This window comes from Homo sapiens, chromosome 22 (assembly GCF_000001405.40).
Source record: "Homo sapiens chromosome 22, GRCh38.p14 Primary Assembly".
Lineage (NCBI taxonomy): Eukaryota > Metazoa > Chordata > Mammalia > Primates > Hominidae > Homo > Homo sapiens.
The window spans coordinates 21,167,826-21,192,293 of NC_000022.11; the positions used below are offsets into that span (position 1 = coordinate 21,167,826).

General features: G+C 43.4%; 1 long non-coding RNA gene across 1 annotated transcript, besides 1 other annotated feature; it reads left to right on the plus strand.

Annotated features, from left to right (window-relative positions):
• The first annotated feature begins 39 nt into the window (after positions 1-39).
• Positions 40-24,336, plus strand: FAM230B (family with sequence similarity 230 member B). Its single transcript, NR_165621.1, has 12 exons — positions 40-144; positions 2,121-2,179; positions 2,648-2,672; positions 5,619-5,705; positions 10,606-10,671; positions 12,671-12,732; positions 13,198-13,231; positions 15,446-17,762; positions 18,296-18,368; positions 18,595-18,635; positions 19,098-19,252; positions 23,897-24,336. It is a non-coding gene; the product is annotated as a family with sequence similarity 230 member B (long non-coding RNA).
• Positions 7,461-7,661: a silencer, noted in NCBI's record as "peak4464 fragment used in MPRA reporter construct". NCBI's record gives its function as "represses an SCP1 promoter by STARR-seq MPRAs in K562 erythroleukemia cells {active_cell/tissue: K562}" and the evidence as "EXISTENCE:reporter gene assay evidence [ECO:0000049][PMID:32103011]".
• Positions 24,337-24,468: the final 132 nt, after the last annotated feature.

Sequence of the window (24,468 nt, forward strand, 5' to 3'; positions counted from 1 at the left end):
TGGGATTAGGGATCTCCTGCCCTTGGTCCTAAGTGCCACTATCTGTGCTGAGTTTTTCAAAGGTCAGAGCAGATTGAACCATTGTGGTTTCATTTTCCCTGATTTTGATTTTTCTTATGGGGAACCTGTGTGGCTGCATTCAAGGTATGTTCATACTGGCCTGTCAAATGCGATCTTTTCAAATTACTAGTTAATGCTTTCAAAATATGTTATTTAAAAAATTAGCCTCTGTATTTTCCATATGCAGTTATAAATATGTTTCATGATTATGTTTTATTCCTCAATTTATATATTTGATTATTGTACCAAGCAGAGTATCTTTGAAATTTTTCTTCATTTAAAAAATATGTATCTTGACTCAGGCCTGTAATCCCAGCACTTTGGGAGGCCAAGGCAAGAGGATCACAAGGTGAGGAGATCAAGACCATCCTGGCCAATACAGTGAAACCCTGTCTCTACTACAAATACAAAAATTTAGCCAGGCATGGTGGCAGCTGGTGTAGTCCCAGTGTGAATTGGGATTCAGTTTATTCAGTTTATTCCCAAATTCCCAAATTATATATATATATATAATTTCCTTTTACATCCTGCATCCTTCAACGTTACATCCCCCACCCCACAGATTAAGTTATTCCCCAGGGGAGAATATGGCAAAGTCTATTTTAATGCAGTTTTTAACCCAATTAAGAACCTATGAAATCATTACTTTCCAAAACTTTGGAACAAAGCCACAGTAGTATGGATCCGTTGGAGGCTTTTCACACAATAAAATGTACCTCTCTTTGTTTTTAACATGTTTTTCCCTTCCTCTCTTCTTTTTTTGTGAAATGTGTATTTACTTTAATATATTTGTAGTAAGTCACTTCCATGCACATATTAATTTTTTAAAGTAATAAGTATGTGTATTGTCTACGTGTGAAAGAAAACACACATTTATTTTTATGCTTTGGAAGTTATCCAGAATCATGGAATTGTCAATCACAGTCAATCACCCAACCTACTCACCTTTCCAGTGTAATCTTAGTCAAATTTTTTTTTTGTTATCCAATGAGATGCAGTATTTCAACTCAGAAAGATAAATAGAGTGAATTTATAGAGACTATTAACTAAGAACATACAGTTTTATTTATACTCAGAAGCAAGTAGATTATGTACATATATATGAAGATAAAAATTAAAAGGATAATTGTGTAAATTTGCATGTAGAGGGCTTTGAAAACCTGTTTACTTGTTAATGCTGTTTTGATGTATTGTGTCTTTGTTCTCCCGACCCATCGTCCAGAGCTCTCTGCAGGAGCTAAGTGCTCATCAGTTCCATGACTTGGAAACTGTCTAAGTTTAGAGGCACTTGTATTTGTTAGTAAATAAGGCAAGATGATATTGTTTCACAGGTTTTAGTGCCGAAGACTGAATAGATAAGCTGCTCCACCCAGTACACTGGTGTTCATTTCATGGTCATCTCATCTGTTAACCATGGATATAAAACATTTATCTTCAATGATGGGGTTTTACCATGTTGGTCAGGCTGGTCTCGAACTCCTGACCTCAAATGATCCACCCACCTCCACCTTCCAAACTGCTGGGATTACAGGTGTGAGCCACTATGCCTGACTGATTATTTTCATAACCAAGAAAAGAAATAAATACAATTAATGCTGGTGCATGGTATTAAATCTAGTTTTTAAAAAATTCACACATAAACAAGGCAGAACCCTATACCCTCCATGATAAATGCAGTAGCAGTGTATGTGGGTCTGTGGAGGTTGAAAGGGACTTGGTAGATGTCAAGAAGCTAGTGGCAGTCCTGCTGGGCTTTTAAAGGGTCTGAAGAAGTGACAGGATGCTGTGGTTGAATCCTAGCATGTATTTTAGCATTTGTTCATTTGGAGTTGATTATTTCACGTTGCTTTCATTTGCCATTACCTGGAAAGCCAAGGGCTCTACTCTCATTTCCTTGCTGCTCTTTCTTTGCCTTCCTTGGTCCGTGAAGAAGATGGTCCAGGAGAAGCTCATTCCATGCTTGTTAACCAGGCACGCCCCTAAGTTCCAGTCCCTGAGTCATTCATGAGTAGCACTGCCAATGAACTGACAGCCATGCTGTGTCCCTCCACATCCCCTAGGTGACTCGAAGAAGCCTTCCAAAAAGCATGTGAAAAGGAAGCCCTACTCTACTACCAAGGTAAAGTAGCCTGTCTTTGCCTAAGATGTAAATGTTGTTTTCTTGGATCCTTTATTTTTCAGTTGATATCAGCTATGGGAAAATTCTCCACTACATTATAGGTGTTAGATAATATTTCCTTGGGGATGGAGGAGGTGTATTTTACCAACTGACACCTGATTCCAGAGGACGTGCAAAATTGGCAGTGTCAGATAGTACACTGGGTGTTAAGGGATGTTTTCTTCAGGAACAAGCTTTCCACTTTAGATAAGAATTCTGCAATTGCTACTCAAAAATTACCTAGACAGAAACATTCTTCAAGAAAAGCTCCTGTGCTTTCCTAAGGGAACTCTACTCTAGAGTTGGGGCTTTTGACTTGAACCTTATTTCCAGTCTTGGTTACCCAGAGTTTCCAAGTGAACAAAAGACCTGTGTGAGCCATCCATAGCATAGCCTGATTCTCAGAGTGTTTTCCTTCTCTAATTACAGGTGACTTCAGGGAGCACATTCAATGGTACGTATTCTGGAATCACTCACTGGTTGTTAGAAAAGGATTCTACAGGAAATCTGGAGCTTAACTGCTGGCTTTTGTCTGGAGAGCCTCCATGATCCAAGACATCTGGTGGGAATGAGGATGTAGGGTATAGTAAAAGAAACTGGTTTTCCTGGTGACATACTCTTTTTATCTATGTATAGTTTCTGGGAACATGTTCACATTAGGTTGTGTGTGGGTATGTGTGTATTAGGGCGGGGGTGGGGTGAGGTGGTCTGTGTGCAAGTCTGCATGATTTGCTTGTGAATGTGTGTCTATGTGTGTTTCCCCTAGGAAAAAAATGTTGTGTTTACCCAGCACAACTCTCAGTGCCATTTTTCTTAATTTAACAAATCAGACCACATACTTTACTTACATTAGTTCACACCTCATCATCATCATGCCCATATGTTGTGAGCTTGTTTATTGAGCCCACATGCCAGATGGAGAAACTCAGCCACATAAATAAATGTGCCCTGGTTCACTTGCTGCATAGTGAAGAGTCAAAATGTTTACTCATACGGTGCTAATGTTGAAGGCCTGAACTACAACCTCTATTTATCAGCCAGTGAAGAGATCACTATTCCCCATGCAAGGGAGTTCCAGCACCCTCTATGCCTGGAATTACCCACACCTGCAGAGATCCCAAACGCCATCCCTCACATAAGACAGCCTCATGATCTCATAATCCAGGTAGCTATGTAGACATCTTCCTGCAGGTGTCACATAGTCCTTAGTGTGAAACCAACATAGAAAGCCCATGTTTCTGATCAAATCACAGGTTCTGAAACACTAAGGGAGGCACTAAGTAGGACAACGTGGTGCCTGCGTGTCATAGCTGGGTCTCCTCAAGACATGGATCAAGTCCAGTAAGAATTGGGGAGATGCTTTAGAGTCTTGATGGAGTTATCACCACAAGCCCTCTGAGCTACACACTTTAGGGATCATGACCATTAAGTACTCAAATTACCATTTGGTTGCTATCCGGGTATCCGTCGTCCTTGTGGCAACCCTCTTGTGAAGCTGGTGTGGACAGCCTCAGTGCTGGAGCTGTGCCTGCCTTCTGAGTGGACCCTTTCTGTGTTAGCAGGTGGGTACAAGCGTGGGGGTCAGCACACTCAGTGGATTTACACACACAGCGTTGAAGAGTAAGGCTGGGCTTCATTATTTATACATTTTCAATAAATGATGATCTTCATAACATAAAATCAATGATGTAGTACACTAGAATACTGTCCCTAGTATTGAATCTTGTCTCTCAGCAAAGGGTTGCTTAAAGTCACGTGACAGATTCCATTCAACTGATGACACATGCTGTAGCAGCAGTTAAAGCAGTCATTTGAAAAGGCTTTTACTATAAACTTACGTGTGAGCCTGAAGTGGGGGATAAAAGAGGCGATTAGCTCCCCTGTGCCATGTTTCTATTATGTGCGTGGTGGAGGAAAATTACACAGGAAGGTGATGGAGAGAACAGAGCAAAGGATTGGACAGGTCCATTGAACCCATAAGACTATGGTGAGGTTAGTGAATGAGATTGGTCATTTTAGGTCAAATTTTACCCAGAGCTGGTGCAGCCACTGCCCATTCTTAGCCAGACCTTATTGCAGGCAGCTCTGATCAATAGTCAAGGAGGCAGTGGGGCTTGCAGACTTAATTCATTAAATCACCAAAGCACCAGCCCAAACGGCCACTTTTCCAGTTAATTGACAGTAGCTTGCATATTCAGGTTTGATCAGTGGAAGGGAAGTTACTCTTTGCAGACCCATCTTTTGACAATCATTTTGTGGTGTCGGAAGGTCTGAGCAGCCTCGGGAGGCAAGCAGTCCCTGGTCCCTCAGTGTAGTCACTGGAGGAGACAGTCACTGAGAGGCAGCTGGCAGGGTGAAGGGAAAGGGGAGGCAGGCCACAGAGATGACAGCCTTTAAGCTGTCATACTGGGAGGTCAAGGATCTGAAAGAGGAAGGAGAATTCTTTATCATTAAGGACCTGTCCTTATCTCAGGCATTTCCTCCAGAGCATCACCTTTGTCCACCCACACACCTTGGGCTAGGAGGACTGGAGAAAGACAGTGAGGGGTCTCTTGGGTCTCTGGCACAGGGCGTGATGAAGAGGTGGCAGTTTTTCAGGAATCTCTCTCTCTAGGGAACCAAATACATTTCCCATCTCAGGTCCTTCACTCAGCGGGGTTGAGGTTCTGCTCGTCACTTATCATCTCTGAATGTCAGCACCCTCAAGTGTAAAATCTCAGCCACAGCCCCTCCTCTGCACCCCCTGCAGGGCTGATGTTCTCCATAAACCATAAGGCGTCATGCCCACGGAAAAGCCGAACAGGAAAGCATGCTCCACTGCCCCGGAGTCATGCAAGTTCCCCCTCCATATTCCGCCACTGCTAAGTGTCCAGCTTATTCCTCCTGGCATGTAGTAAACACTTAGAGAACATTACTGAAGTACCAGTCCTCTCTAAGGTTTTCCTGTATTTAGTGATTTTTTAGCCCTGCACTGTGATACTAAGAAGTAGGGCTTAAATAGGGCCTAAAAAGTATTGCTAAAATTACATTATGACAGTGCAGAGAACTGAGGGCAGAGGGAGGACATGAGCTTGCCAGGTCCACATGGCTTAGTGGAATTTGAATCCGGGCCCCCACTCTGCACCAGCCCTGCACTCACAGTCATCCGGCTGTGTTCTCCTCTCCAGGAAGGCACTGCCCACGCAGTCTGTCTGATAGAGGTGTTGAGTGCTCACTGAACTCCGTGATCTTCCTGAAACCCAACTTTGATTCAGTGGGCTCTGCTTGGAAGCCTGTAAAGAAAAGGATCATAAGTTTAAACTTAGAACAGATTATCACTATTTTCCCTCTGGTCTTCTGTCAGCAAGATGTCAACAGCCCTATCTATTGTCAATGCATTAACCAGCATCTTCTCTGATAGAGAATACAAGAAGATATGCTGTGCACACCAACCAGTGTAGGAGACCTCATGGCTCCCGGGTAAAGAAGAAGAGGTACCCACAAGAAGGTACTGTGGAAGTTCATTAATTAAGTTGATTCAAGAATTGCAGTTGCGGGGAGTATTCAGTGTCCCATATGTAAGAGGAAACTATGAAGAGACTAAGCCATATTTTTTAATGTGTCAGGATTCTAATTTGCCTGGTCAGTAAATATTGCTACCACCACAAAAGTAAATATCTACTTAAAAGTCAATTTTGGTTCATGTTTAATGATAGACAATGTTTCAAGCTAATGTCTAGAACTTACCTGGTTGTTAAACATAAGCATAGATCTCCCTGAAAGAGTGGTGCTATATTATTATTTTTCAATTAATATATTTCTTTAGAGAGTTTTAAATTGACATAAAAACTGAGCATATGGCCGGGCGTGGTGGCTCACACTTATAATCCCAGCACTTTAGGAGGCCAAGGCAGGCGGATCATCTGAGGTCAGGAGTTGGAGACCAGCCTGGCCAACATGGTGAAACCCCATCTCTACTAAAAATCCAAAAAAATTAGCCGGGTGTGGTGGCAGGCGCCTGTAATCCCAGCTACTCAGGAGGCTGAGGCAGGAGAATCGCTTGAACCCAGGAGGCAGAGGTTGCAGTGAGCCAAGATCATGCCATTGCACTCCAGCCTGGGTGACAAGAGTGAAACTCCATCTCAAAATAAATAAATAAATAAATAAATAAAAATTGAGTATATAATACACGAAGTTCCCATATTATTCTGTCTCCTCACCCTCACTTCCTAATTTCACCTATTAGTAACATCTTACATTACTGTGGTACATTTGCTAGAATAATGAGAAAATATTGACACATTATTATCTGAAGTCTACATTTGCATAATGTTCATTCTTTCTGTTATACATATATATGAATTTTGAAATATTTAAAACATTATGTTCACCCTTATGGTCTCATAAAGAAAATGTTCACTTCCCTAAAAATCCTCTCTTCTCATTAATCTCTGTCCTCTTTCTCCAGAAACCTTGGCAACTATTAATATTTTTACTATCGCTTCAGCTTTGCCTTTTCCAGAATGTCATATAGTTGGAATCATATATTATGTAGTTTTTTCAGATGAATTTATTGCACTAAATTGATGTACGCTTTAGCTGCTTTCATGTCTTTTTTATGCCTTAATGGCAAAAAATGGCACATTAAATCACCAAATAATATTGCATTCAATGAATTTTTGTCTTTTTATTCACCTGTTGAAGAATTCGGTAGATTTCATGAGAGAAACCATCTGGGCCTGGTGCTTTCTTTTTCGGAATGCTCTTAATGTGAATTCAACTTATTTAATAGACATAAGTTTATTCAAATTAGGATCCTAGCATGACCTTGGGAAGATTGCCTTTCAAGGAATTGATACATTTCACTGAGGTTATCAAACTGCGGTCATAGAACTGTTCATGATATTCCTTTTAATGCCTAACAGTTCAGTAGAGATGGCTCCTCTTTTATTTCTGAAATTGGTCATTTGTGTTATCTTCTTTTTCTTGGTTAGCCTGCATATCAATTCATTCATTGTAATGAGCATATCAAAGAACCAGCTTTTGGTTTTATTGATTTTCTGATGATTTCAGTGTTTTAATTTTATTGATTTCTGTGATGTTGTTTATTACTTTTACTTGCTTTCCATTGCATTCCTCTATTTTCTATAGTTCCCTAATTGAAACATGATATTACTGATTTTAGGTCTTGTGATTTTTAGTATATTGCATCCAATGCTATAGATTTCCCTCTAAGGACTGCTTTTGCTACATCCAGAAATCTTGCCAAGTCACATTTTCTTTTAATGTAGTTAAAAGTATTTTTAATTTTCTATTGAGACTTCTTCTTTAACCCATGAGTTATTTAAAAGTGCATTGCTAATTTGCAAATATTTGGGGATTTTGTGGCTCTTTTACAGTTGTTGAATTTTTGTTGTCAGGTATGTGTTGCAAAAGCAGTCGTCTACCTCATCTTGCCACCACCCAAGATGGCCCAGGATGTGGGCTCTCCCTGAGTGAATCTTTGGCAATCTGCCAACCTGATGTGTTCGGCCTCCTTCTTTAGTCTGAGCTTGCCTTCTGCTTAGAAAGGGCCATTCTCAGTTCTGGCAGGGAGTTTTCCCAACATTGAGAAGGTGGCATTCTTACTCCCCACTGCAGCCTGCACCTCTGACCGGTGGTCAGCAGACAGGACAGAGGTCCTCATCAGACAGAGTTCAGCAGGGTCTCTGACCAAAGTGCATCTTCAGAGTCTGCACCTACCCACTGTGACCACGGGCAGGCTCTGAGTCCTAAAGCAGGAGGAACTGTGCGACCATCCTGATTGGAAATTTGTGAGGATCACCGTGTTACTCAAGTAAGGTCTTTGGAAAGTGTCGTATTACTACTGTTTGTGAACTGCTTGTTGGTGGCCTGGCTGAGCCACACACTTTATGAAAACCAGGACCCCTCAGCTGGTGTGGGTGTCTATGCAGCCTGAGACCCTCATGTGAACAGCCTCGTGGCAGCTGTCTTTGCCCCTTGCCACCATCAGTGCCTCCTTGTTCCTGGGCACTGCTTTCTCTGATGGTGCTCCATTGTTTTCCTGCACCTCAGTGTCTACAGCTGGATGTCTCTTCCGCAATCTAGGCGAGGGGGCATCAACGGCAGTTCTGCTGTGGCACTGCCCTCCTTCTTAGCTTGTCTTGCTCTGTCTTAGGCTCCCTCAAAGATCCCACCCTTCAGGTTCTTCCACAAGTTTCTTATTGAAATCCGAGCAGAAAACTATGACCAATATGACCAATCCTATACCCACTGAAGACATGAATGAAGAATTAAAACAATTCTCCATGGACTCTACCATATAGATCCCTAGAAGTAATTTCTAAAAAAAAAAAAAAAAAAATCAAGGAAGATGTAATAGTTTTCCATAAATTAGAATACCCTACATGTACAATTAAATGAAATGGCTAGTATAGTCTTGAAACCAAAACCAGATAAGGTAAATTAAATTCTGTGATATTTTAAAATACTGTAAATTCTGACTAATGTGAGTTAATCTCAATATATGAAATAGTAGATTAACATTGAAAATGCAATAAATAAAATTAGCTACCTCAAGAGTTTAATGGAAAAAAATGTGATTATTGCAATAGATTCAGGAAATTCATGAATAACATTCACCCTATATTTGTAGGACAGCTATCTAACTTTAAGTGACCTGTGACAACCATTTGAATTAATGCTGCTTTCACAGCATATCTCTTGGCTTGTTAAAAACCCGACAAGAATTTCCGTAACATTAATTTATTTTTAACACCTATATTGGGTGTGAACCCACCATAAAGTTTGCCCACTGAAAAGGTCTACAATTTGATGCTTTATTAAATTGATACTGTGTGCACCCATCACCACGATCTAATTTAAATATGTTTCCCTCACCCAAATTCTCTCTTGCGCACTGGCAGTTAATCCCCACTCCCATCTCCAGCCCTAAGCAATACTGCTGTGACATTCCATCTCCATAAATTTCCCATTTGCTTAATAGAAATGGACATATATATATATTTGGAATCTGACTTCCTTCATTTAGCATACTATGTTTGAAGTTAATTGACGTGTTAGCACGTGCTGGTCATGTGTTTTCCTTCATAGTCTGCTGTGTTTACTCATACAGATAGTGTTTATTCATTTATCAGTTAATGGACATTTAATTGTTTTGTTATTTTCTTTGATGAGTAATGTAGCTTTGAGCATTCATATACAGTCATGTAATGCATAATGACATTTTGGTCAAAAAAATTTTTTTTTTTCTGAGACCCAGGCTGGAGTGCAGTGGCACAATCTCGGCTCACTGGAACCTCCACCTCCCAGGTTTAAGCAATTCTCATGCCTCAACCTCCCGAGTAGCTGGGACAACTGGCACACGCCACCATGCCTGGATAATTTTTGTATTTTCAGTAGAGACAGGATTTTGCTGTGTTGGTCAGGCTAGTCTCAAACTCCCAGCCTCAGGTGATCCACCTATCTCTGCCTCCCAAAGTGCTGGGATTATAGGCATGAGCCACCACACCCAGCCTAATTTTTTTAAGAAACAAGGGAACTATTTTCTAAATTACTTTTGCCAATTTATATTTCTACCATGATGCATAGCACTAATTTCACCGTACAATGTATGGTAGGCCCCAATATGTAAGAAATGATGAAAATAACACATAAAGATTGGTATAAAACAAATAAGATTATCATTGTTGCTATCATCTTTGTCAAATTCTGAAAACAATCTGAGTATATTTTTATATAAATATGCTTGGCAACATAGCTGAAAAACGCATTATCAGTTACATTTATCAGTAACAAAGACATAAATTTGAAGGGGGAACAACACTTGTACTAACAACGCAATGTCAGAATTAACATAAAAATTCTGCTGGTCACTTTGGAATATTTAATTGCCTGGGGCAGTGTTTAGTAGACAAATGAGCATCTATGGAGCACTCAAAGTAGGGGAATCAACAGAACTTGGGTTTGAAAAGTTATCTGGGTTTAGAGCGTGAAACTTTGTTAGAGGACACGCACCTTGCATGAGCGAGGTGCCCTGGTGTGTGTGGACGTACCATTATGCTTGGAGGTACAGCATAATGGTGGCTTCCTCCAGAAAGGGACATTTGGGGTGGATTCATTCCATCTAGACAACACAGCCTGATGTGGCATGGACATGAATGGAGGTGAAATGGTCAGTAGTTGAGAGGATCAGTCCTGACAAGGGCCGAGGTGAAAAACCTGGGAACCCCTTCAGGTACAAAGTCTTCAGTTGAAAAAGGAGGTGGTCACAGGAAATACTGAGACAGGACAGCAAAGCATGGGAGACAGAGTTCTTGGCCCTGCAGGGTGAGTAGTGTGGATTCTCAAGTTTTCTCCTCTCTCCATTAATTTCTTTCCCAATGCAGATGACTTCCATCATACAGTCTTCAGCAACCTTGAAAGATTGGACAAGCTTCAGCCCACTCTTGAAGGTAAAGGAAGGCAGCTAACAAGACTGGCATCTGGGCTTGGCTGTGCGTGTTTTCTATCGTGGGGAAATATATATAACACAATATTTATCATTTGAACCTTTTAACCAAAGTGTGCACTCCATGGCATTCAATATATTCACAGGGTTGCATAACCAACACCACTATCTACACCCACAATTTTGATGATTTCTTACGAAACCTTGTCCACAATAAGCAATATAGCACCTTCCCCCTATTTCCAGCCCATGGTGATTCCTATCCCACTTTCTCTTGTATGAATTTGACTATTCTAGGCACTTCATGTAATTACAATTATACAATATATTCCTTTTGTGTCTGGCTTATTTCACTAAGCATAATGTTCTCAATGTCCACCCATGTTGTATCATCTTTCAAAATGATGTTCGTTTTTTACAGATGGATGATGTAGCATTGCATGCAGACCACCTTGCTTTTATTACATTCATTTGTTCACTGATGGTTGGATTATTTCCACCTTTTGGCTCCTGTGAAAAGTGATGCTACAAACATTAGTATACAAACATCTGTTTGATTTCCGTTCTCTATTCTTTGGGGTGCCTAAGAGTAGAGTTCCTGGGTCCAACAGGGGTTCTATATTTAACCTTCTGAGCCACTGCAGACTGTTTTTCACAGTGGCTGCAACTTTATCCATTTCTACCATCAATGTATCAGGGTTACAATTTCTTTACGTCCTTCTTCACACTTATTTTCCTTTAAATCATCCTAGTAGGTGTATATTGGTGGCTGCTTGTGTTTTTCATTTGCATTTCCCTAATGACTAATGATCCTGAGCAGCTTTTCCTGTGCTACTATCTGTGGCTGTATCTTCTTTAGGGAAATATATGTTGAAGTCTTTTGCCCATTTTTAAAGAGTTGTCTGATTTTTATTTAGTTAGTTTGTTGTTGTAGATTTTTGAATATATCTTAAATATATTTAAAATATATTCTAAATTTTAGTCTCTTACAAGAGAAATGATTTGCAAATATTTCCACCTTTGTGTAGAACTTTAGATTCACAAACTTCGTTAATTTGTATGAAATCCTCAGCAGTTGACCCCAAACAGATAAGACTGAAGCAGTATTTTAGGAATAGTTGAAAGTATGATCACCACAAAACATAAGCGTAATCAAATCCTGCAAGCTACATGTAAGGCACAATGACAAATAAGGCAGCAAAGGGCCATCTGGTGATTAGTTCACCACACTTGTTGCAACTGTTTGCGCTGCAGAGTTAAAACACACCAGCATTCAACCCGTGTCTCCTCTCTTGAAGTAAACTGTCGTATGTTGGCTGGCCTGAACAAGCGTAGATATTCTCCATCCTCAATTAATATGCATGCATGACAAAGAAAAGGAGGCCTGGATGAAAAAATATTGTGTGATTAATAATTATGCTTTAATTAATTTTAAAGGATATAATTTCAGTACTTCTAATTCTCCCATCAGCAGTTATAACAAAGGATTAGTGAATAAATACCATAGACTGTTTTGCCTAGAATTGAATCCAATCTATCTATTAAACTTTGCTTGTATTCAAGTGCAAAATGCTAAAACACATAACTGCAGTGACAGCCACTGTGGATCCTCAGAGGTAAAAGTAGTCTTGGGACATAAATCCTGCAAGCTAATATTGTTTTTACAGGTTTAGAAAACCATTTAGCTGGGTTTCAAACCTCACAGTGTGAGCAGTGGGACTCTCATCAAACTATAGCATGTGCTTCAGTACCATTTGTAGACTGACTCATTCCCATTTTCTTCAGTTGCCATCAGCAAAATGCCAGGGACTCTATTTCTTGCTCCTTAGCTCCTCGTTCTTGCCTGTCTTTCCACGAGGGAAGATTTTCTAGCAGGAGCTCAAGCTGTGCTTTTAATGAAACACATCCACACACACTGTCCTGTTGTCCACATTAAGCAGAGCTCCCTGAATAACTCATGAACAAAAGCATCTATGACTAACTGTTGCTCTGTGTCCTCCTAGCCTCTGAGGAGTCTCTAGTTCACAAGGACAGAGGAGATGGAGAGAGGCCAGTCAACGCGAGGGTAAGGTTGCCTTGCTTTCTCTGAAATAGAAATGTTCCTTTCTTGGTGTCTTTCTTTTTCAACTGACTTTACATGTGAAAAAATGACAATGTCCATGACAGGTATTAAATGCAGTTTTCTGAGGGGGAGGAAGAAGTGACTCTTAGCAACTGATATGTAATCCAAAATGGCATTTAGCTATGACGGCTTCAGGTTGTGGACTGTATCCTTGGGGTCCTTGTCCTTGGAAGCAATGTCTTCTCCTTGGATTCAGGATTTTGCACTTGCCAACCTACGTGGACCTGAGAGATCCACCATCCAGAAGCTGATGTCTTTTCCAGTGTGTATCCTACCCTTGTTTTGGAGGCCTTGAAGTTGACTACACTTTCTGATCAAGTTTTCAGTATTCATTGAGAGAAACAGAGCCTTGTGCAAACAATCCACAACATGAGATACCCCTGAAAAAGCTTTGTTTCTGTATTGCAGGTGGTGCAGGTGGCCCCTCTGAGGCTTGAATCTAGTAAGTATTCTGGAATCACTTGCCAAGAAAACAATCTGGATGCCAAGAAAGGTGTGGCATCCTTGCCTGGTTTCAATGTGAAGAGCCTCCCTGATCCTGGGATTGTGATAGGAATAAGTATAGGGGAAGTGTTTTTTTAAAACCTGAATTCCCCAGGGAAAAATTATGGCCAAATTTTGAGGAAGCAGCTGTGCTCCCTTTTGGGTGGTGCTGAGTTGGGTGCTTGAGGATTGGTGGTGTCTTGTGTGAGGCTGCATCGTGTGGTGTGAATGTGTGTGTTTCTGTACAGGTGAGGCTGTGTGTTTTCTCAGGAGAGATTTCCCACTTATACAACCCAATCACCAGTGTCCACTTCTAACAATAAAATCCACCCCCGCTCTACTCTCTCTGTACAGTGACTCCTCCACCCTCACCAGAGCCATCCCCGGGTCTGCCTTATTATCCCCACTGCTCAGGTGGAGAACCTGAAGGGCCAAGGGAGTGGCCCCAGCTCCCGAGTTCCTGAATGAAACAGTGAAAACACGAACCCAGGAGTGTGGACCAGTGCTGACGCTGACATGCACTTAGTCATGGGGTGTTCACCACCACACACGGAGTCCAGCATTCATGTATAAGCCCTAAAGCAACGAGCCCAAAAGGCCCCAGACACTGCCCATCATCATAAAGTGGCCTCCGTGGTCACACAACCCAGGGCAGTTATAGCCTCATCTCCCCACGGACCGACATAGTCATCAGTGTGTCAAAAGCACAAAGATCCCCAGGTGTTTGGCTCAGCTCACAGATCCCTTTTTTTATTTAACTTTTCAGTTCAGGGGTACATGTGCAGGATGTGCAGGTTTGCTACATATATAAATGTGTGTTATGAGAGTTTTTTGTACAGATTATTGCATCACCCATATATTGAGCCTAATATCAGTTATTTTTCCTGATCCACCCCCTCCTCCCACCTCCCACCCTCCAGTAGGCCCCACGCTCACAAATTCTAAGAGGAGTGGGGGACCACAAAGGCCAGTGTGGCCCACTTCAGTTGTGAAGTTAATTTGCTCAGCAACTGGCCAAAGTCTATAAGGATGGGTGATGTATTTTAGTAGATTTAGTAATACTATCTTCCCAAGCCCTAAAATGCTCAAATCCTGCCAGCCAAAAATGGTGAGGAGGGACAGATAGGAACTCTGTGTGGCACTTGGTTATTAGCCTGGCTTCCATCCCTTAGTGGCAACTCTCTTGTATATGTGGGTTAAAGACCCTCAGCCTCAAGCCAAGCCTCCTCCATGAGGAGCCATCTCACTATTGACCGGCTAGTGCCGGGTATGGCCACCAGCCCAACTGAAACAAAATGTTGCTTTAAAACAAGTGTAAATCTCATACATACAACAGGCAAATGCAGAAGCAGTGTGGTCTCGCAAGTTGTAAAGAGGACAGTCGCAATTTTGCTGGACTTCAACCTGGGTAGAAGACATGAGGGAACCTGTCACTAAATCACGGCAGAGTTCAAGGCCACTTGTAGACTATTTCATGTTACAGAAGGTGGCCTTTAGCTACTAAGCAAAGGCCTCTGTTTCTCATTTCTTTCCTGTTCATCTTCTTGGTCATCCTTCTTCCGCAAGGGAAACGAGCCCAAGCAAAAGGCAGTTTCAATATTAATTTGACCGAGGTTTTGTGCAGTTTATTATCATCCAGGTAATCAGGTGCAACCCAGTCTGCCTAGCCGCCCCCCTATCTCTGCTCTGTGTTTTCATTTAATAAACATTTTGGTCTACTTACTATGTGCTAGATTTTCTCGAGACCAAGTAAATGAGATAGAATCTTTATGCTGGCAGCTAAGTTAGATTTCACATAACTGACAAAAATTAAAATTTCTGATTTCTTGTAAAAATATTTTGTATGTGTGAATGCATACTGAATGTAAAGTGGATAAAAAACTCACACTTGCACTCATGGAAGGCTTTTCATGAATTTGTCAATTTTTATTTTTTATATTTCCCCACTTCACCAGATAATGCATACCTGAACCTGGAAACTGATTCCCACTGCAGAAAGTGTTCTGAGCCACATCCCTTAGCTTCACTAGTGCAGGTCCACCTGGGAGGATGTCCCAGCATCAGCTTGACCCATGCTGTGATCAGCCACCTCCATGCATCACACCAAGCAAGCCCCTGGGTGATTCACAGTCTCCACCACCAGGGCACTGACCTTAACTCTGTGTTTTTCTAGCTCCCCATGAGGACACCGTACACGACATCACTAACGAGGACGCCACACACGACATCGCTAACGAGGATACTGTACACGACATCGCTAACGAGGCCGCCGACAAGGGCATCGCCAACGAGGATGCCGCCCACGGCATCGCCAACGAGTACGCCGCCCACGGCATCGCCAGCGAGGACGCCGCCCACGGCATCGCCAGCGAGGACGCCGCCCAGGGCATCGCCAGCGAGGACGCCGCCCAGGGCATCGCCAACGAGGACACCATCCAGGGCATCGCCAAGGAGTACGCCGTCCACGGCATCGCCAACGAGGACGCCGCCCAGGGCATCGCCAACGAGGACGCCGCCCAGGGCATCGCCAACGAGGACGCCGCCCAGGGCATCGCCAAGGAGGACGCCGCCCAGGGCATCGCCAACGAGGGCGCCGCCCAGGGCATCGCCAAAGAGGACGCCGCCCAGGGCATCGCTAACGAGGCCGCCGACAAGGGCATCGCCAACGAGGATGCCGCCCACGGCATCGCCAACGAGGACGCCGCCCACGGCATCGCCAGCGAGGACGCCGCCCACGGCATCGCCAGCGAGGACGCCGCCCACGGCATCGCCAGCGAGGACGCCGCCCAGGGCATCGCCAACGAGGACGCCATCCAGGGCATCGCCAAGGAGTACGCCGTCCACGGCATCGCCAACGAGGACGCCGCCCAGGGCATCGCCAACGAGGACGCCGCCCAGGGCATCGCCAACGAGGACGCCGCCCAGGGCATCGCCAAGGAGGACGCCGCCCAGGGCATCGCCAAGGAGGACGCCGCCCAGGGCATCGCCAACGAGGGCGCCGCCCAGGGCATCGCCAAAGAGGACGCCGCCCACGGCATCGCCAACGAGGACGCCGCCCAGGGCATCGCCAACGAGGACGCCGCCCACGGAATCGCCAGTGAGGACGCCGCCCACGGCATCGCCAGCGAGGACGCCGTCCAGGGCATCGACAAGGAGGATGCCGCCCAGGGCATCGCCAACGAGGACGCCGCCCAGGGCATCGCCAACGAGGACGCCGCCCAGGGCATCGCCAAAGAGGACGCCGCCCACGGCATCGCCAACGAGCTGTATACGACATCGCTAACGAGGACACCCTACAAGCCGTCGCTAACAAGTACACTGTACACAACATCGCTAATGAGGGCACTGTACAAGACATCACCAATGAGGGCGCTTTATACGACATTGCTAATGGCACCGACAAGGCACGCTAACGTGGACGCTGTACACGACATTGCTAATGAGGACAGCGTATAAGACATCGCTAGTAACTATCGCAAGAACAAAAAACCAAACACCGCATATTCTCACTCATAGATGGGAATTGAACAATGAGATCACATGGACACAGGAAGGGGAATATCACACTCTGGGGACTGTTGTGGGGTTGGGGGGGGAGGGATAGCATCGGGAGATATACCTAATGCTAGATGATGAGTTAGTGGGTGCAGCGCACCAGCACGGCACATGTATACATATGTAACTAACCTGCACAATGTGCACATGTACCCTAAAACTTAAAGTATATATATAAAAAAAAAGACATCGCTAGTGAGCACGCTGTATACGACATCGCTAATGAGGACACCATACAAGGCATCGCTAACGATGACGCTGTACACAACATCACTAATGATGACACCGTATAAGACATCGCTAATTATGACGCTGTATACGACATCGCTAATGACACCGTACAAGGCACGCTAACGAGGATGCTGTACACGACATCACTAATGAGGACAGTGTACAAGCCATCACTAATGAGGACACTGTATATGGCATCGCTAACGAGGACACTGTACAAGCCATTGCTAACGAGGACGCTGTACACAACATCGCTAATGAGGACACCATATAAGACATCACCAATGAGGATGCTGTATATGACATCGCTAATGGCACCCACAAGGCATGCTAACGAGGACGCTGTAGACGACATTGCTTATAAGGACACCGTACAAGACATCGCTAACGAGGACGCTGTATACGACATCGCTAATGAGGACGTTGTATATGACATCGCTAATGAGGATGCTTTACAAGACATAGCTAATGAGGTTGCTGTATATGACATCGCTAATGAGGACATTGTATATGACATCGCTAATGAGGACGCTCTATACGACATCACTAATGAGGACGCTGTATACAACATCGCTAATGAGGACGCTGTATATGGCATCGCTAATGAGGATGCTGTATACGAATTCGCTAATAAGGACGCTGTATATGACATTGCTAATGAGGACACTGTACAAGACATCTGTAAAAAAGAAGATGCTGCCAATGTAAGACACTTTTCTTTGTCTTGAACAGAAATGTTACTTTCCTGGCTTCTTTCCAATCAGATGTAGACATGAACATCTGCCAGTGTGCATTATCGATGTCATCTGCAGTTTAATCAAATGTAGACATGAACATCTGCCAATGTGGACTATTTATGACATCTGCAATTCCCTTGGTGTGGTGCTATTGATTGGCAGCCTCTCACCAACCCATGCCAGGCACACTGGGGTGTGGTAGATGGCAGCATCCACGATCCACTGCAATGCAGAGGTGTTTCCCTCCACAGCAGTTTTCCCCCATGGATTAAGAGTTGTGAAACTGCCAATCTAGATACACTTTAAAGATAAATTCTGTGGGAAAAGGTCTTGTCTTTTCCACAGGTGTCTTCCGTGCCAGTTTTGGGGGACTTCGACCTTTGACTCAATCACTATACCCCTTCCTATTTTCTCTCTCAAGTTGTCGAGAGACTATCAGATCTGTGTGACGTGTATGGCATCATTTCACCCTCCTAATGTTTTCTTTTCTATAATTGCAGGAGCCATTGACACTGGAGAATGATACGTACCCTGAAATAACTCACTTCCTGAGGAAAAAGCGCCATCTCTAGGGTACAGAAACCTGATTCTGGGCTCCTTTTGGGAAGGAGGATTTGGGGTCTGGTGAGAGCAAATGATTTTGCAAGTATAAAACCATGTCCAGAGAGGCTGTAGGGATATCTGTGAGCCCAGAGGAAACACCAGGGGATCCTGTGCGAAGCACCATGGCTTCAGCTAGGGTGGGAGGAGTGGGTGGGCCTCTCTCTAATGACTTATCCTGGTGTTTGTGTTTCTAAAGATTTGATTGTGGAGAGCATATCTGATGATGGGGATTTGTAGGTAGGTAACTGCTTTCCACGTAAGATCCAATTGGAGAGAGTTCCCAGGGGCCTTCGGGGTATCCATGCTGCTTGGGAGGTTAAGGGAGGGGGCATGAAATCAAAACGAAACAGGAAATATGTGTCATATCGGATTTGGTCTTTTCCGGGTTTATTGGCATAATAGTTAGAACTGTCTCTCTGGGCTATGAGGGTGCTGTGTTATTTAAAGGTGGTCTTTCCCAGAACACCTGGCCTTTTCTTTTCTGCCTCTGCCAAACATCACAGCCTTTGGGTTGGATTAGTCAGCACCCCTTGGGATTGTGCAGAAGAGGTTTGGGGTTGCATTGAGTGTCACCTGTGGTGAACAGAATCTGAGGGACACAACTCTCTCACAGGCACTTCCTCCAACCTGGAGACAGAGTTCTCCTGGTGTGTGCCCAGGGGTGGAGGAGAAATTGACAGTCTGCCTCTGAACTTTCAGGACTTTAAAAAGCACTCATGTTTCCATCCTCACTGTTGACTCCTGGCTTAAAGGGATCTCCCGGGGTGAGTGAGGAGGCGGGATCGGACCCTGGCAGTCTGACGGCAGCACCTGTGTTCCTCTGCACTGGGCCGTGGATGACATTACATACCTTGGTGAGAATCAGGAATTGAGGCTAACCACATCTGAAATTGAGATGGGCCTTGAGTCATATAAATAGTTTGGAAAAGATGCATTTTACTACGCTATTGAAAGAAACCATTTATTTCTCACTCCAGCAGGATAAATGGTTTTCAGTATCCATTTAACTGCTCATTGACTCTTACTGTAGATGAGGAGGTGGCCAGCAGCCCCTGCCCTCCCCCAGTTGGTAGGCCCAAGGTAACCAGCAATTGACTGGATATAATGGAAGAGTGGTGCATTCGGGGGTATCTGTATTAATGGGACCCACATGATATGGATGAGAGCTATTAGGGTGAGAAAAAGCCTGGGAGCACAATGAAATATTTAAATATTAAACAAAACATTGTTGAAATCTCCATTGTACTTTAGTAGTTGAAGTCATTCTTGTGGTCATCACTGCCTTTCCCAAGCATAACAAGCTACTTAATATCACATGGACCCGTGCCATGAGGAATGATGATCAGTTTGTAAAATGCCAATAAAACAATTGCCTATATAAGCCACAATGTTTCATCCATATATTTCAATTTCCATGTGTAAGTATAGTTCAAATTTCAGAAATTTATTATTATCTAATAGAATATGCATGGTATATCAATGAGCAATTATCATACTGTTTCTATTAACAATTATTTGTATGATGAAAAAAGCAGACTCCCATTCTTGGATTTTTCTCAGTTTGCACACATTAGCATGACAGCCCCATTTCCACCTGACATGTGCCAGCAAGAGGCCAGGAACAGAGGCTTTTCTTATTAACTAAGATTTCTAAATGTATTACGTATTCACATTTAGAAACTCTAAATATCATAAAAGGTTAGCAAGGAAGTTTCCCTTCCACTCTGAACTTCCAAACACCAAGTCAACATTTTTGTTTGCATATCATCCCTGCAATCTATGTGCAAATAGAAGCATGCACCTGGAATGCAGGCTGATGTGTGATCATGTTTACACAAAGTCCTCTGCACCTCTGCATATATCACTGGGCAATGCACCTTAGTTATCATTCCACATTTCAAATGTAAATCCATTGTATTGTTTCAGAGCTATAAAGTACTGCACCCCATGACTATTCCCAAAATTACTTAAGCACCCCGCTATGGGTATCCATTTGTTCTGTTTCCAGTCTTGCTCTTATAACCAATGCTGTAGTGAACAGCACTGTGTTGAGAAGCGGTGAACGTGGGCATCTTTGTCTTGTTCCCTTCCTCAGGCGGAATGCTTTCAACTCTCCCCCATTCAGGAAAATGTTGGCTGTGGGTTTGTCATAGATAGCTTTTATTACCTTAAGGTATGTCCGTTCTACGCTGATTTTGATGAACGGTTTTAATCATAAAGAAATGCTGGATTTTGTCAAAGGCTTTTTCTGCATCTATTCAGATTATCATGTGATTTTTGTTTTTAGTTTTATTGATGTGATGTATCACATTTATTGACTTGCGTATGTTAAACCATCCCTGCATCCCTAGTATGAAACCCACTTGAATCATGGTGGATTATCTTTTTGATATGCTGTTGGATTCAGTTAGCTTGGTTGTAGCATTTCTTATTATTCCATCTGTGGAATGTATTGGTTGAAATAATGAAAACATGTTCTATCCTCACTGCTTAGCACTTTGTGTTTCTTTAATAGCCTTCCCAACAGGGCAACATAAAAGCAGGAGCCCTGCTAGTCTCCCCTTAACCCGGAATCCCCCCTTCTCCACAGCTCGCTCATTGGACAGGATAGACTGGGCGCCCAGGCTTCAAGGTAAGGACGTGCTCTGTCACCTAGAGGTGCAGTGCTTGGGAAGGCCAACCTTGGAGGGTTGCCTGCCAGCTTTACAGTGACAGAGGTGTTGAGAGGGACTGACCACCAGTGCATAAGGCTGTGCTTTGTTGGTGACATAAAGGATTGTTTCACAGATTGTTGGGGAGGGACAATCCCAAGGCCTCCCCTGGCCCTGGTGCTGGCTCTGCACAAAGGCAATAAGAGAGGGATGCTGGTAAGGGCTGACCTGTTGCTGTGCTGGGGAGGAAGGTGCTGGGCTGAAATTCAGGAGGCTGAGGATGCAGCAGTCCCATAGGAGGTACATGACCTTCAGGATACATTTTCTTCATTGATGATCAATGGAAATGAGAAATCACTGACTATTTTTTCTATCATTGGAATCTACTCTCCACTGCTCATGCTGTTCCTGTCTTTTGGGGAAGATGGAGGATCAATCAGTGTGCACTGCACTGAGTGGAAGGAAGGAGAACTGTGACAAAAATTAAGGAAGGATGAGAGACGGGAGGGCCCTTCATCCAGCTGCTTGCAGAGTCCTCCTGAGGAGGAAAGCCCCGTGGCTCCCTGGAGAAGGAGCATTGAGGGCTGCGTGACTCCCACAGTGAAGTGTGTGGTATGTCTGAGGACACCCAGGCTGGTGGTCCATGAGGAGCCAGTGGCAGAGTGAGAAGAAGAAAGGCCAGGAGGGTGGCTGGAGGCCAGGCTCTGAGTCATTCTCCATGTGATGGAAACAGCCGGAGCCCAGTGGGCTTGGAGGTACAGGATGCGGTGGCTGATGACAGAACAATGTGGAGAGAGGCGTCATTTGTCAAATCCTTACTTTGTTCTGGGCATTGTGCTAAAAATTCTGATGGCTCATCCCATTTAGGGGCTGAAAGTTGCAGAGGTTTAGGAAGCTCACCCACGATACTGGAGCCCCCATCTCCTGCCCTAGTGCTGTCCACCTTCTCACCCAGCCACCACCTGTTTCGGGGGAACACACAGAAGTGGTAACCTCTTATGGAGAGGCAAGTAAATTCTGCTGTTTTTGTTATTCACAGAAAAACACTGGCTCGTGTGGGTTGGGAAGGTGAAATACCAGAAGTATTTCATCTGGTTATTTCTACCCATGCGACTCCTATAGTATTGAAATGCATAGGTTAGCATTTTTGGCCAATTTACTCAGCATTCTGGGTTAAAGGCTTTTATTTATTTTATTTATTTATTTATTTATTTATTTTTGAGATGGAGTTTCACTCTTGTTGCCCAAGCTGGAGTGCAATGGTGCGATCCTGGTTCATTGCAACCTCCGCCTCCCAGGTTCAAACTATTCTCCTGTCTCAGCCTCCCAAGTAGCTGAGATTATAGGCACATGCCACCACACTGGGCTAATTTTTTTGTATTTTTAGTAGAAATGAGATTTCACCATGTTGGTCAGGCTGGTTTCGAACTCCTGACCTCAGGTGATCTGCCCCCCTCGGCCTCTTAAAGTGCTGGGATTACAGGCGTGAGCCACCACGCCTGCCCTAAAGTCTTTTAAAATTCACTTGTATAAGTTGACTTAGTTTTCTTTAACCTTGTAGAAAAATACAAAAATGGCAATCTCTTTTATCACACAAATAATGTCTTTTTAATGGAGTGATTTTTTTCTAATTGAGGTATTATGTACTTTTCATTTACTAATTATTGTTTACATTTGAAGTGTTTTATGAATTAATATTTAATTGCATAGATGAAGATTACTAGTTATAGGCATTTTACTAACCAATACTCATTAAGCATAGCGTGGATTCCTATGACATCAAGGAGCTATTTTATTTGGTAAAACGAAAAAGCACAAGAATGAACGAACGCAAGAACTGAAACAGTGGAGACACCTAGAATGACTTGTCTAAGATCTAAATCATTTTGTTGTCTTCCCAGCGTACTTATTATCCTGATCATTGTCATCAGCATTGTTTGGGTCCTTTTAGCACAGATTTCTCAAAATGGGTAACTCCATAACAGTTGGAAGCTTACGAATTCATATAATTTGTAAGAGGTCAATTTGGGAGTACCTATCTATTTTAAAATTCCAATAACCTGGGAATTTCATCCCATGTCTAGAGTCTTTTATGTAAAATATTTCCACAATTAGGAGAAATATGTGCATGGGGATTTTCTATGTAGCGGTGTTTTGATAGAATAGAAAATTGGGATAAACCAAATTTCCATCACGAAGGAAATAGTAATATGCTGAATAATAATACAGCGAATATTATGCAGGCTTTAAACATCAAAAAAGAGTTCAACTTCTGACTTCCGATGATGGTGTTGAAGCAGGTCACTGCTGGTTTACATTTGATTTTCATGTGGGAACTCTGGAAGTCCGCCTTAGTGATTTTACATGTGGCTAAATTGAGCTAATGACAAGCTGTTTGCAGTATGGCAAAATGGAACTTTAAAACAGTATCTTGTCAACAACCAAGAGGACCTGTTTCACATAAAGCCCACGCATTCATCTGCCTGTCCATCATTCTGTCTGTCCACACGGGCATCATTCGTTAGTGGAACTGAGTGCCCGCTGTCGAGCTGACAAGCCCATAACCTCCCTGTTCCTAGTCACACATTAATTCTTCAACAAGTCCCTTTTGATAGATTGTGATTAAGCTTAGCTACTATTTCCAATTGCTTCCCCAAACGTACTTCTCACTGTTCTCCCATCACACCCTTCAGCCCATCCATGCGGGGTTCCTTTGCTTTTCCCACCTTACACCAAACTCCCTATTTTTACTCCCACTTTTACCTCCTCTCCAAGACACAACAAACAAAACTAGCATTTTAAAACTTAGTTGTAATCTTTCTTCCTTCATGAAAATTTCTCCAACAGCCACTCCCACGGTCCTGTGTGTTCCGGATATTTTAAAATAATGGCTATAAGGTTGAGCACTTCAGGATACGCTGTTTTGCTGTGTGCAGATGGAGGCAGTGGCTGGAGTGAATGAACGGCAACACTTGCTGGCAACCGGCAGAAGCTGAGAGACAGGGAACAGGCTCTCCTCCAGAGCCTCCAGGAGCCAGGCCTTTGGACAACTTGAATGTGGGCTTCTGGGAGACCATGCGTTTCTGTTATAAGCAGCCCAGTCTCTGGCAGTTTTTACGGCTGCCCCGGAACACTCATCTATACCTGTCTGACAAGGTCAAGCTCCAAGGAAGGGACTCTCTACATATCTACATTGTTTGCAGATTTTACAATAATCATTTATTCTTGCATGGCTGATCATTGTTAACCAATACAAATAAAATAATAAAGAAATGACCCACATTTTATGTTGGGAGTTTGATCTGCCATTTATCAAGTATGGAATCTTGAACAAGGGGTTAAACATCTGAATGTCTCCATCACTTCATCTCTAAAGTGGGGGTGCTCACACCCACTGGGCTCCCCCGCCCAGGTTGGTG